At 52.3% G+C, this 12,564-nt stretch overlaps 1 protein-coding gene across 2 annotated transcripts in view, besides 1 other annotated feature; it reads right to left on the bottom strand.

Annotated features, from left to right (window-relative positions):
* CRTC1 (CREB regulated transcription coactivator 1) overlaps positions 1-12,564 on the bottom strand; it is a 98,654-nt gene that overhangs the window by 22,378 nt on the left and 63,712 nt on the right. For both annotated transcript variants that reach the window (NM_001098482.2, NM_015321.3), the window contains 3 exons: positions 10,081-10,175; positions 6,371-6,456; positions 365-405 (listed from right to left, as the gene is read on the bottom strand). In NM_001098482.2, the coding sequence (NP_001091952.1) occupies positions 365-405; positions 6,371-6,456; positions 10,081-10,175 (222 nt within the window). The remainder of the gene's footprint in view (positions 1-364; positions 406-6,370; positions 6,457-10,080; positions 10,176-12,564) is intronic.
* Positions 9,850-10,833: an enhancer, noted in NCBI's record as "H3K4me1 hESC enhancer chr19:18859933-18860916 (GRCh37/hg19 assembly coordinates)". NCBI's record gives its function as "activates a minimal SCP1, AML or CMV promoter by ChIP-STARR-seq in primed H9 embryonic stem cells {active_cell/tissue: H9 hESC(primed)}" and the evidence as "EXISTENCE:reporter gene assay evidence [ECO:0000049][PMID:30033119]".

Raw genomic sequence — 12,564 nt, 5'->3', positions numbered from 1 at the left:
GGCGGGGACAGGGGGCTGGCGGGAGAAAATCAGCGGGTGCAAAAGGCCACCCCCCATCAGGTGCCGTGTGCTTGGGAAACCACTGTTGGCTGGCACCAGGCTGAGACCTTGGAAAGCAGCCTATCACCCGGTGAGGACGGTGGGGGGCCTGGGGGCAGCAACCTCCCTGAACCCAGGAGAGGGCATCATCCCTGGGAATGAGGTGCCTGAGGGGTGGGCATGTGGGGGCTCTGTCACTGGCCTCTGGTCACACAGTGTCCCTCTTGCAGGGACTTGCAACCTCAAGAGAGTGGACAGAATGCCCCAGGGTGGACGGAGCAGCGCAGCAGATGCAGTGTGCGGGGTGGGCCCTGTGGAGACTTACTTGATTCCGGGGACCTCACAGGACTTGGGCCTGGACCCCGTCTGAAAGAGAAGACAGGAGAGCCTGAGCCCTGGGGCACACCCTGTGGGGCCCTCCTCCTGGGCACTGGGCCTCCTTGAAACGGCTGATCTTCCCACAAAGCCCAGAGATGCATCATGAGAACCAAGCTTGCTGGGGCCGCAGAGCCCCACAGATGGAGGACAGGGGCACCGCCCCAGGGTGGAGGGGCGGGCCCCAGACATGCCCAGCGCGAAGCCAAGAGTTGCACAGAGAGGGTCTCCCTATGGGTCCCCTCCCCCTGCTCCTGCCCTCAGTGGGCAGTCTCTTTTCAGAGGAGTCTGGGGAGAACATGGCATGTGGATCTTTTTAAATTTTTATTCTATTTCATAGAGACAGGATCTCACTTTGTCACCCAGGCTAGAGTGCAGTGGTGTGATCACAGCTCGCCGCAGCCTCAACCTCCTGAGCTCATGATCTTCCCGCCTCAGCCTCCCGAGTGGCTGGGACCATAGGCACGCGTCACTGCACTGCGCCCGGCTGCTTTTTAAATTTTGTGTAAAGCGCCTCTTGACACTCCCAACGCTGTACCACAGCAGTCAGCAGCCAGCACAGTAGAGGGGCCTCTGCTAAGCTGGCCGCCCTAAGCCCTGGTACCCGAGGCTAAGTGTCCCTAGAGCTGTCCCCAACCATCCATGCTGTTCCCAGATCATGGTGGCAGGGGTTCCGGGGGCAGGAGTTGCCTCTGTCCAGTGCCCACCAGGCAAGTTTGTGAGCAGCCACCAGTCTCCAGGGAGTGAATCAAGCCCAAGGCCCAAAGGAGGGAAGAACTGAGTCAGGGGAGACCCAGGAAGCTTGGACCTGATGCCCTAAACTCAGTTCAGAGGTCACTGCCCCTGTCTTGGGGCTGACCAGCTTTGCAGCAGAGACCTAGACATGTGACTTCCCCGGGGACCCTCAGGGTCTGCTACTTCCTGAGAGTCCCGAGACGTCCCTCTGCTATGTGGGCAGCCACACTCATCCCCCACTGACTAGGGCTTGGGTAGCCCTCAGCATGACACTGGTTTTTCTGCTTGGCTGAGGAGCACTGTCAGGACACTTTCGGGACATGGACATGGTGTATGGAAAGGGCCCACAATAGGCTCCTCTTGGACTGTGGCCCACAGAGCCTTTGAAGTTCAGGGTCTCGGGAAGGGCTCCTCTGCCTTTTTTTTCTTTCTTTTTTTTTTTTTTTAGAGACGGAGTCTCACTCTGTCTCTCAGGCTGGAGTGCAGTGGCACGATCTCAGCTCACTGCAAGCTCCGCCTCCCGGGTTCACCCCATTCTCCTGCCTCAGTGTCTCGCGTAGCTGGGACTACAGGTGCCCGCCACCAAGCCCGGCTAATTTTTGTATTTTTAGTAGAGACGGGGTTTCACCGTGTTAGCCAGGAGGGTCTCCATCTCCTGACCTCATGATCCGCCCACCTCGGCCCCCAAAGTGCTGGGATTACAGGCATGAGCCACGGTGCCTGGCCTCTTCCGCCTTTTAAAAAAATGTTTAATTTTAGTTTTAATTTTTTATTTTTATTTAATTTTTTGAGACAGAGTCTGGCTCTGTCGCCCAGGCTGGAGTGCAGTGGCACGATCTCGGCTCACTGCAAGCTCCACCTCCCAGGTTCACGCCTTTCTCCTGCCTCAGCCTCCCGAGTAGCTGGGACTACAGGCACCCGCCACCACGCCCGGCTAATTTTTTTTGTATTTTTAGTAGAGACGGGGTTTCACCATGTTAGCCAGGATGGTCTCGATCTCCTGACCTCATGATCTGTCCACCTCAGCCTCCCAAAGTGCTGGGATTACAGGCGTGAGCCACTGCACCCAGCCTAATTTTTATTTTTTAATTTTTTTTTAAGAGATGAGGCTCACCGTGTTGTCCAGGCTGGCCTCAAACTCCTAGGCTCCAGTGATCCTCCTGCCTCAGCCTCCCAAAGTGTTGGGATTACAGGCGTGAGCCATGGCACCCGGACTGAAGTATGGACTTTCACAGCAATGGGAAAGAAAATCATAATCCCAGCAGAAAGACCTGCCGGGTACCTCCAAGGGCTTCTGAGGCAGGGTGGGGTCTGGCTCTGGCTGTGAGGACACCGTAGGGTAGCAGGGCAGCCTCCAAGCCCCCACCGCTCACAGACAGAGGCCGGTGAGTTGGCCCTGGGGAGGGGGTGCCCAGGAAAACCTTCCTGGAGGACCAATGTTTCCTCCCCTGTGAGTTGGGGGCACTAACACCAGCCAAGACATGGGATCACTGCAGGCCCTGGGGAACTACAGGCTCCAGGTAGGGGCCCCCGAGACTCCTGTTCAAGGACAAAGGCAGGACCGTCTTCTGCTCTTGGCAGGCATGACCAGACAGAACCCCAGCCATGGATGAGGCCTCCCAGTGTGACACGTTTCCGCCCCTGGGGCCCTGGGGCAAACACTTCTGGCTGAGTTCTTTCAGGATTATCAGATGAAAAAGGCGAACATGCTGGCAGAGGGTGGGGCTGGCCTCAAAATGCACACACCGTGAGGGGGCAATGCCCAACCCGCAGCCACTGGGGTGCCCGAGGGGTGGCGTGCGACCGGCGGGTGTTAAGCCTCTGTGGAGAACGCCGGCTGAATGGGTTTCTGCTTGGCCAGAGCCTCCTTCATTCTGAGAGTAAACATTCGCTTCATTACCGGATTTCTGCAAAGCACACCGGCGATCACGTTCTCAAGAATACTTTGAAAAGCATTCCACCAACATTATGGAGACATTAATGGATTTCTGAGCAGTATTAAAAATTCACCCACCACCCCACTCCACTATCGGGGTGTGTCTCCCTCTGCAAGGTGACTGTCGCCATCTTCCTTTTCTTGAGTAACGGCAGAACATCCAGCTGTGTGGGTGGACCGTGGCCTACTTACCCACCTCTCTGCTGCTGGACATTTGTTTTCTTGTTTTGTTTGTTGTTAGAATTTTTTTTTTTTTAGAGACAGGGTCTTGCTCTGTTGCCCAGGCTGGACTTGAACTCCTGGGCTCCTGGGCTCAAGTGATCCTCCTGCCTCCCAAGTAGCAGGCACACACACATATCACACTAGCTAACTGTTTTAAAATGTTTTGCAGAGACCAGGTCTCAGTATGTTGCCCACGCTGGTCTCAAACTCTTGGGCTCAAGCAATCCTCCCACCTCAGCCTCCCAAAGTGTTGAGATTACAGGCACGAGCCACTGTGTCCGTCCAGCCTAGAGTTTTTTTTTTTTTTTTTTTTTGAGATGGAGTTTTCGCTCTTGGTGCCCAGGCTGGAGTGCAGTGGCGCAGTCTCAGCTCACTGCAACCTCTGCCTCCCGGGTTCAAGCAATTCTCCTGTCCCAACCTCCCAAGTAGCTGAGATTACAGGCAAGTGCCACCACACCTGGCTAATTTTTTGTATTTAGTAGAAACGGGATTTTACCATGTTGTCGAGGCTGGTGTCAAACCCCTGACCTCAGGTGATCCACCAGCCTCGGCCTCCCAAAGTGCTGGGATTACAGGCGTAAGCCACTGCACCTGGCCTAGGGTTCTTTTTTAAAGTTTTTTTCCCGTAAGAGTGGAAATCTCAGTGACTCTTTGTGCCAAACTGAAACACAGAGACCGAGCCCAGGAGTTTGAGACTAACCTGGGCAACATAGTGAGACCCCCGTCTTTAACAAAAATTAAAAAATAGGCCAGGCGAGGTGGCTCATGCCTGTAATCTCAGCACTTTGGGAGGCTGAGGCAGAGGACTGCTTGAGCCCAGGAGTTCGAGACCAGCCTGGGCAACGAAGTAAGCTCCTGTCTCTATAAATGATTTAAAAATTGGCCGGGCACGGTAGCTCACACCTGTAATCCCAGCTACTCGGGAGGCTGAGGCAGAAGAATCACTTGAACCTGGGGGACGGAGGTTGCAGTGAGCCCAGATTGCGCCACTGCACTCCAGCCTGGGCGAAAGAGTGAAACTCCATCTCAGAAAAAAAAAAAAAAAAAAAAAAAAAGCCAGGTTTGGTGGCACGCTCCTATAGTCCCAGCATCACAGGAGGCTGAGGCAGGAGGATCGCCTGAGCCCGGGAGGTTGAGGCTGCAGTGAACCGTGTTCCTACCATTGCACTCCAGCATGGGCAACAGAGCAAGATCCTGCCTCAAAAAAACAAAAAATACAAAAATTTGTCAGGCATGGTGGCATGCACCTGTAGTCCCAGCTACTCTGGAAGCTGAGGCAGAGGACTGTTTAAGTCCAGGACTCCAAGGCTGCAGTGAGCTAGGGTGGCACCACTGCACTCTTGCCTAGGCATAAGAGAGACCCTATTTCTAAAAAAAAGAGCCTGTCATCCCAGCACTTTGGGAGGCCAAGGCGGGCAGATCACTTGAGGTCAGGAGTTTGAGACCAGCCTGGCCAACATGGTGAAACCCTGTTTCTACCAAAAATACAAAAATTAGCCAGGTGTGGTGGCACACGCCTGTGACCCCAACTACTCGGGAGGCTGAGGCAGGAGAATCACTTCGCTTGAACCCGGGAGGCAGAGGTTGCAGTGAGCCGAGATCACACCACTGCACTCCAGCCTGGGCAACAGAGTGAGACTCTTTCTCAAAAAAATAAAATAAAAATAATTAAAATAAATATAATAAAATTTAAAAATAAAAATAAAAGAAAAGAAAAAGAAATACACAGATGGATATAAAGGGCTGACAGCACCACCCACACTCACCACGACAGAAAACGCACAACCCTTGTGAGACGCCCCTCAGTCAGGTCTGCCTGCTGGTATCTGTGCAGCTGCATCTCTGCAAGTTTTATGCCTTTTCCAATATTCTTATCCTACTCTGTCCACATGACAATAGTATCAGGAGTGTCTCTCATGAGTTTAAAATTTCTTCAGAATCTTATCTCCTCGAGGGACTGAAGACTATTTCCTCAACAAATTCCTTACTCCTGAAATGTGCAGGCTGTTTCTAGTTTATTGCAAAAGCTCTGGAAAATACCTTTAAAAAACACATTGTTCCTTATTCATTCCTCAACTCTCAATGATTGAATTCCTGAAGAAGAAATTATTGGAGCAAATATTTTTTTTTCCCCACCAGAAGGGGTCTTGCTCTATTGTCCAGGGTGGAGTGCAATGGTATAGTCATAGCTCACTGCAGTCTTGACCTCCTGGGCTCAAGTGATACTCCCGCCTCACCCTCCTGAGTAGCTCAGAGTACAGGTACACATCACCACCCCTGGCTCATTTTTTGTAGAGGCAGGGTCTCACTTTGTTGACCAGGCTGCTCCCAAACTCCTGAGCTCAAGTAATCCTCCCACCTCAGCCTCCTCCGAAAGTGCTGGGATGACAGGCGTGAGCCATGCACAGCCTGGAGCAAACCCTTTTGAAAGGATTTTGGCACAGGCTGGTGCCTCACTTTCCCATAGGGGAGGAGTAATTTGCATTGCTGTCCCTTTCAGTGCAACTTGACCAGCAACGGGTTTTAATTCTTTTTTTTTTTTTTTTTTGAGATGGAGTCTTGCTCTGTTGCCCAGGCGGGAGTGCAATGGCACAATCTCGGCTCAGTGCAACCTCTGCCTCCAGGTTTCAAACGATTCTCCCACCTCAGTCTCCCAAGTAGCTGGGATTACAGGCGTGCACTACCATACCCAGCTAATTTTTTGTATTTTTAGTAGAGACAGGGTTTCACCATGTTGGCCAGGCTGGTCTTGAACTCCTGACCTCTGGCAATCCGCCTGCCTCGGCCTCCCAAAGTACTGGGATTACAGGTGTGAGCCACCGCACCCAGCCTGGGTTGTAATTTTTGTGCAGTTCCGGCCTGTTGGATAAGGCCTGCTGTTAGTGATCTTAGTGATCAACAGACCTAACAGATTCTCTGAATTTGAAGATGGAAAAATCGGAGTGAGGTTCCCTGTCTTGGGAAGGTGAAGCCACCCCAACCTGCCATTTTGTCACCTTTGCCCAGGTGATGCTTGAGAAGAGAAAGAAGAAAAAAAGTTTTTGAAAGCTCATAGGCTCTTACCTTCTTGGTGTCCCATGCTTGCTTGGAAAGGTTTTTGTCTGCCTCTGATGTGGTCTCTTCCATTCCTGGGACTGTTAACAGTAAGACTGGGGAGGTGGGAGGGGGAGAAGGAGAATCAGAGAAGAAATTTCTTTGCAGCCGCATGGTGGTACCAGGAGGACACGTCCCTGACACACGGAGTCATGGCCATGGTAAGACTGCAACTGTCCTAACGGGAACTTCTGTGGACTGTACTAAAACCACAAAAAAGGGCTTCATGACAAACAACAACAACTTTATTTATTTATTTATTTATTTATTTATTTATTTAGAGACGGAGTCTCGCTCTGTCGCCCAGGCTGGAGTGCAGTGGCACAATCTCAGCTCACTGCAAGCTCCACCTCCCGGGTTCACGCCATTCTCCTGCCTCAGCCTCCCAAGTAGCTGGGACTACAGGTGCCCGCCACGATGCCAGGCTAATTTTTTTTTTATTTTTTTTATTTTTAGTAGAGACGGGGTTTCACTGTGTTAGCCAGGATGGTCTCGATCTCCTGACCTCATGATCCGCCCGCCTTGGCCTCCCAAAGTGCTGGGATTACAGGTGTGCGCCACCGTGCCCCGCCTATCAGCTTTAAATAAGTCAGAGAATCTGTGACTTAAGAAAAAATAGGCTGGGCGTGGTGGCTCACGCCTGTAATCCCAGCACTTTGGGAGGCTGAGGTGGGCAGATCGCCCGAGGTTAGGAGTTTGAGACCAGCCTGGCCAACGTGGCGAAATCCTGTCTCTACTAAAAATACAAAAATTGGCCGGGCATAGGGGTCAGGACTCGTAATCCCAGCTACTTGGGAGGCTGAGGCAGAATTGCTTGAACCGGGGAGGCAGAGGTTGCAGTGAGCTGACATCACGCCATTGCACTCCAGTCTGGGCGACAGAGTGAAACTCTGTTTCAAAAAAAAAAAAAGAAAGAAAGAGAGACAAAGAGAAACAAGGCTGGACACAGTGGCTCACACCTGTAATTACAGCACTTTGGGAGGCCGAGGCAGGCAGATTACTTGAGCTCAGGAGTTTGAGACTGCCCTGGGCAACATGGCAAAACCTCACCTCTACAAAAAATAAGAAAGTTGGCCGGGTGTGGTGGTGCTCACCTGTAGTCCCAGCTATGCGAGAGGCTGAGGTGGAGGGCTCGCTTGAGCCTGAGAGGTAGAGGCTGCAGCGAGTTGTGATCATGCCATGGCGCTCCAGCCTGTGTGACAGAGCAAGACCCTGTCTCTAAAATAAAATAATATAAAACAGCAGCTCTGGAGCCTGAGGATGTGTGGATTCTGCTTCCCACAGAAGAGGCTGAACCAACGTGGGCCTCAGAGGCGTCAGGCTACAGAGAACAGCCAAGAATCTCTCCCAAGAGCAGCTGCCTAGCTTGTGTGTATATTTTTCTTTCTTTCTTTTTTTTTTTTTTTTTGAGACAGTCTTGCTCTCCCACCCAGGCTGGAGTGCAGTGGCACCTTGGCTCACTGCAACCTGCGCCTACTGGGTTCAAGAGATTCTCCTGCCTCAGCCTCAGATTATAGGCATGTGCCACCAAGCCCAGCTAATTTTTATATTTTTAGTAGAGATGGGGTTTCTCCATGTTGGCCAGGCTGGTCTCAAACTCTTGATCTCAAGCAATCTGCCCACCTCAGCCTCTCTCCCGAAGTGTTGGGATTCCAGGCATGACCCACCGCGCCTGGCCCTAGCTTGCATGTTCTGTTCCGCATCCACCACTTGATCTTGCTTCCTGCTCTGGGCTGCTGACACCCAGTGGCTGAACCTTTATTGAGCCCCCGGCACCAAGCACAGGGGTTCAGATCATGTCACTCAATGCTGATGGAGGTGGGACCAGTGCACTCATGGCAGCAGCGGCCCCGTGAGTCAGCCACAATGTCAGCCAGCCCCAGAGCAAGAAGAGGAGAGGGAGAGTCTGAGCGACGGGATGGATGGGCATCAATTGAGGCTCTGGAACCAGCCGGGCCTGAAAGTGCCTTTCCTTGGATCTTTCAGTCAAGGTAAGAGTAAACATTTCCCCATTTTCTTTTTTCTTTTGAGATAGGGTTTCACTTTGTCACCCAGGCTGGAGTGCAGTGGCGTGATCTTGGCTCACTGCAACTTCCACCTCCCAGGCTCAAACAATTCCCCCTCCTGCCTCAGCCTCCCGAGTGGCTGGTACCACAGGCACGTGCAAACACTCCCAGTTAATTTTTTTGTATTTTTGGTAGAGACAGAGTCTCACTATGTTGCCCAGGCTGGTCTCAAACTCCTGGCCTTGTGATCCACCCACCTCGGCCTCCCAAAGTGCTGGGATTGCAGGCGTGAGCCACCACACCCAGCCCATTTCCCCATTTTCTTTATGCCTGTTGCACATTTCATTTTTTTTACTTGTAACTGGGAGACCCACGATGAGCACAGCCAGATAGGCCAACCCCTTCCTTGTTGAAAGCCAGGCTGCGAGGAGGCAGCCAGGCCAACCCCAGCCCTGTCACCACCTCAGGCGCTCCGAGGAGAGTGGGGATAGATGATGTGTCCCTGCCAGGCCCCCACTCCAAGGCCACCAGGGGTCCCATGTCACAGCTCCTTTCCCAGGTTACAGTGTTCCAGGGGATGGTGACATCCTGTTGCCCACCCCTCGGACGTGCTGTCTGTGGGGACCTAGTAGGACAGGCAGCAGCCTCAGAACAGCCTGCTCATTAGGAATAGCAGGGAAGCCCCAGGCACTGTGCTATCCTCAGCACCCCTGGGTGTTCCAGAAGCCTCATTTTCATTATGGAGACATTCTCTTCTCCCTCCCGTCTCTGCTGCACGCTGAGCCGGAACCCCGGAGTGAGGTTCTGGCCAACAGTCCTCCTCCTCCTCCTCTTCCTCCTCCTATCAGCAGAATCTCCCTTGCGTGTTAACCACCCACTCGGTGAACGGCAGCAATACAAGCATAGGTATGTGAGCCCTAAGCACGTGCAACTCCCTGGCTTCAGTGCCTTGGGCCACACCAGGTTCCCTGGGGCTGGCCTCAAGCCTCCAAGCTCCCTTCTCTGATGGCACCGCCCCAGTTTTTAAGACAGCATATGCCCTCCTTGAAGGTTCCCAGGGTGCCGCCTCCACGCCCGGCTTCAAATTGGAGCCAAGGACCTGGGTACAGATCTGTCCCCGCCACAGGGGTGTGCATGGCTCAGCTGGAGGCGACACTCTGGCCAAGAGTTGGGAAGAGATGGCCTCTTTCTCACTCGCTATAGCTAGGACGGGCCCAGGGGCTGCAGGCGAGGAGAGTTCTCAGCAGCAGAGCCAGGAAACAGTCCAGTGGGAAGCAGTGGAAGGAGCTGAACCTGTGGCTAGAAGTCGACCCCTGGCCTGCTCTGTCATGAGCTGACAAATGCTCCTTTGCGTGGGCTTGCTGCCGCTACATTTGAAACCAGCATCTGTGCAGCACCCAGACTTCATGGCCACGCCCTCAATCCAGGAATGGGAGCCAACGTGCGCCTGCAGGGTTGTTTTCTCTGCCTAGAAAACTCCTATGCACTCTTCAAAATCCAACTTAAGTAGCACCACCTCTGAAAGTTTCCGATCCCCTCCCCCGATCCCTCAGCATGGTCTGAGTCTTCCTTTGAAGAGCCATCTGCCCACAAGCTTGTGACCTCCTGGAGAACAGGGGTTACCTGCTGGACTTGCCTCACCCCAGCAGAGACACCCGAGTCCCCTGTCCATACCTCTTTTCTGGTGCACGTCCTGGGACCCACTGCTAAAGGATTCTGGCTGCGTGGGCGTCATTGTGCTCTGGTGCAGGGCGGAGTCAGAATTGGTCCTGGTGGGGAGGGAGGAAGAGACAATGAGCCTCAGCCCAAGGCAGACAATGCGATAGTCCTGATCCCAGCTGGGACACGCTGGATGGACAGGGTGGCAGCTGTGGATCATTTTTGTGAGCTGCTGCACCTGAGCAAAGCTCTCGGGACCTCATTCTAAAAAGAGCCACCAGAGTGACTGCGGTGTTCATCTGCAAAGCTCGTGAAAAACAAAAAGCAGCCGCGCGAGGTGGCGCACGCCTGTGGTCCCAGCGACACAGGAGGCTGAGGTGAGAGGATCACTTGAGCCCAGGAATTCAAGACCAACCTGGGCAACAGAGCAAGGCTTCTTGGCTTTGGGGAAAGGACAGTGCCCTCCTGCTGAAACCTCCCAAAGAAGGAGCCCCACAGGTGCCCAGCCTTGGGGTATGAGCCTCCAGTCTGTCACCAGGTCCCCTCTTGGTGACAAACACAATCAGGTGACTGTGCCCTCTAGGATGCTCAGTGTCACACAAACCCAGTGTGACAGGTGGAATGGGCTAGGAGAAGGCCCCGGAAGGAATGAAGCCACTTAGAGGCCCCCGTGGTTGGGAAGCCAACCTGAGGCAGGAGGTCTTGCTTCAACTAGCCCAGGAGAGGCTCTTCCCTCTACCTCCAGGGACCGCATTTCCCTCTAGGAACTGATGGGGAGAAAGCACAAGGCCACCCAATCTGCTCCTGGCTGCAGGTGCCTCAAGAGTGGGTCCCCAGAAAGCCTCCTTGGCTGCCAGGCAAAATGTGGGTACAGCCACCACCAGCTATGTGTCTCTGAGCAAGTGTTTTGACCTCTCTGTGCTCAATTTCCTCATGTCTAACACGGACTACAATGGAGATGAACACACTGCCCACTCCATAAAGCTCCATTCATTTTATATAAGTTAATGAATGTGATGGTGGGAACAGGGCCTGACCTATGATACGGGCTTGGTGAGAATTTAATATTGTAGTATACATATATATTTTGAACAGCTTGCTTACTTTTCTTCCGTTTACTAACATGTGTGTGTATGTGTGTGGTGTGTGTGCGTGTGTATGTATGTATATGGTTTTTCTTTTTTTTTTTTTGAGACAGGGTCTCACTCTGCCCCCCAGGCTGGTGTACAGTGGCATGATCATAGCTCACTGCATCCTCAACCTCCCAAGCTCTAGTGATCCACCCGCCTCGGCCTCCCAAAGTGCTGGGATTACAGGTGTGAGCCACTGTGCCTGTTATATATATTTCTATTGTAGTAAAATATATATAACAGCCAGGCACAGTGGCTCATGTCCTGTAATCCCAGCACTTTGGGAGGCCGAGATGGGTGGATCACTTGGGCCCAGGAGTTTGAGACCAGCCTGGGTAACGTGGCAAGATCTTGTCTCTCCAAAAAAAAAAAAAAAAAAAAAAAAATCAGCTGGAAGCAGAGGTGGGACGATTCAGTCTGGGAAGTCGAGGCTGCAGTGACCTGTGATCGCGCCATTGCACTCCAGCCTCAGTAACAGAGTGTGACCATGTCTCAGAAAAAAAATTATATACACACACACGTTTGTATACATATGTATGTAAATATGTGTGTATATATGTATAGTTTTAACTGTTTTTGAGTGTATAGTTCTGTGACATTAAGTACATTCACATTGTTGTACAACCATGATCTATATTATTGTATGTTTTTATATTAACTATATTATTGTTATTTTAGGCCTTGGAGACAGGGTCTCGCTCTGTGGCCCAGGCTGGACTGTAGTGGCATGATTACAGCTCACTGCAGCCTTGACCTCCTGGGCTCAAGCAATTCTCCCACCTCAGCCTCCCGAGTAGCTGGGAGTACAGGCGTGCACTACTACATCTGGCTAATTCTCTCATTTTTTGTAAAGATGGGATCTTTCTATGTTGTTCAGGCTGGTCTTCAACTCCTGGGTTCAACTGATCGCCTGCGTTGGTCTCCAAAAGTGCTGGGATTACAGGCGTGAGCCACTGTGCCTGGCCTGTATTTTTCCTAATCTTCCATCCTAAATGTGTTAATATAATTTTATCATCACATTTTTAATGGCTGTTGAGTAACATGGGTACCTGCTCTGAATACAGCATTAAATAGGAAAGAGCAAGCTACAGTGCTGAATATGCGGTATCGTCCCACTTTCTTTTTCTTGCGATGGAGTCTCACTCTGTCACCCAGGCTGGAGTGCAGTGGCTCGATCTTGGCTCACCGCAACCTCCGCCTCCCGGGTTCAATTATCCCGCCTCAGCCTCCTGAGTAGCTGGGGATTACAGGCATGCGCCACCATGCTGGCAAATTTTTGTATTTTTAGTAGAGACGGGGTTTCACCATGTTGGCCAGGCTGGTCTCAAACTCCTGACCTCAAGTGATCCGCCTGCCTCGGCCCCCCAAA

Source organism: Homo sapiens, chromosome 19, assembly GCF_000001405.40.
Source record: "Homo sapiens chromosome 19, GRCh38.p14 Primary Assembly".
In the NCBI taxonomy this organism is placed as follows: Eukaryota; Metazoa; Chordata; class Mammalia; order Primates; family Hominidae; genus Homo; species Homo sapiens.
Note: the sequence above shows the minus strand (reverse complement) of the source record. Positions and strands in the feature narration are given on the sequence as shown.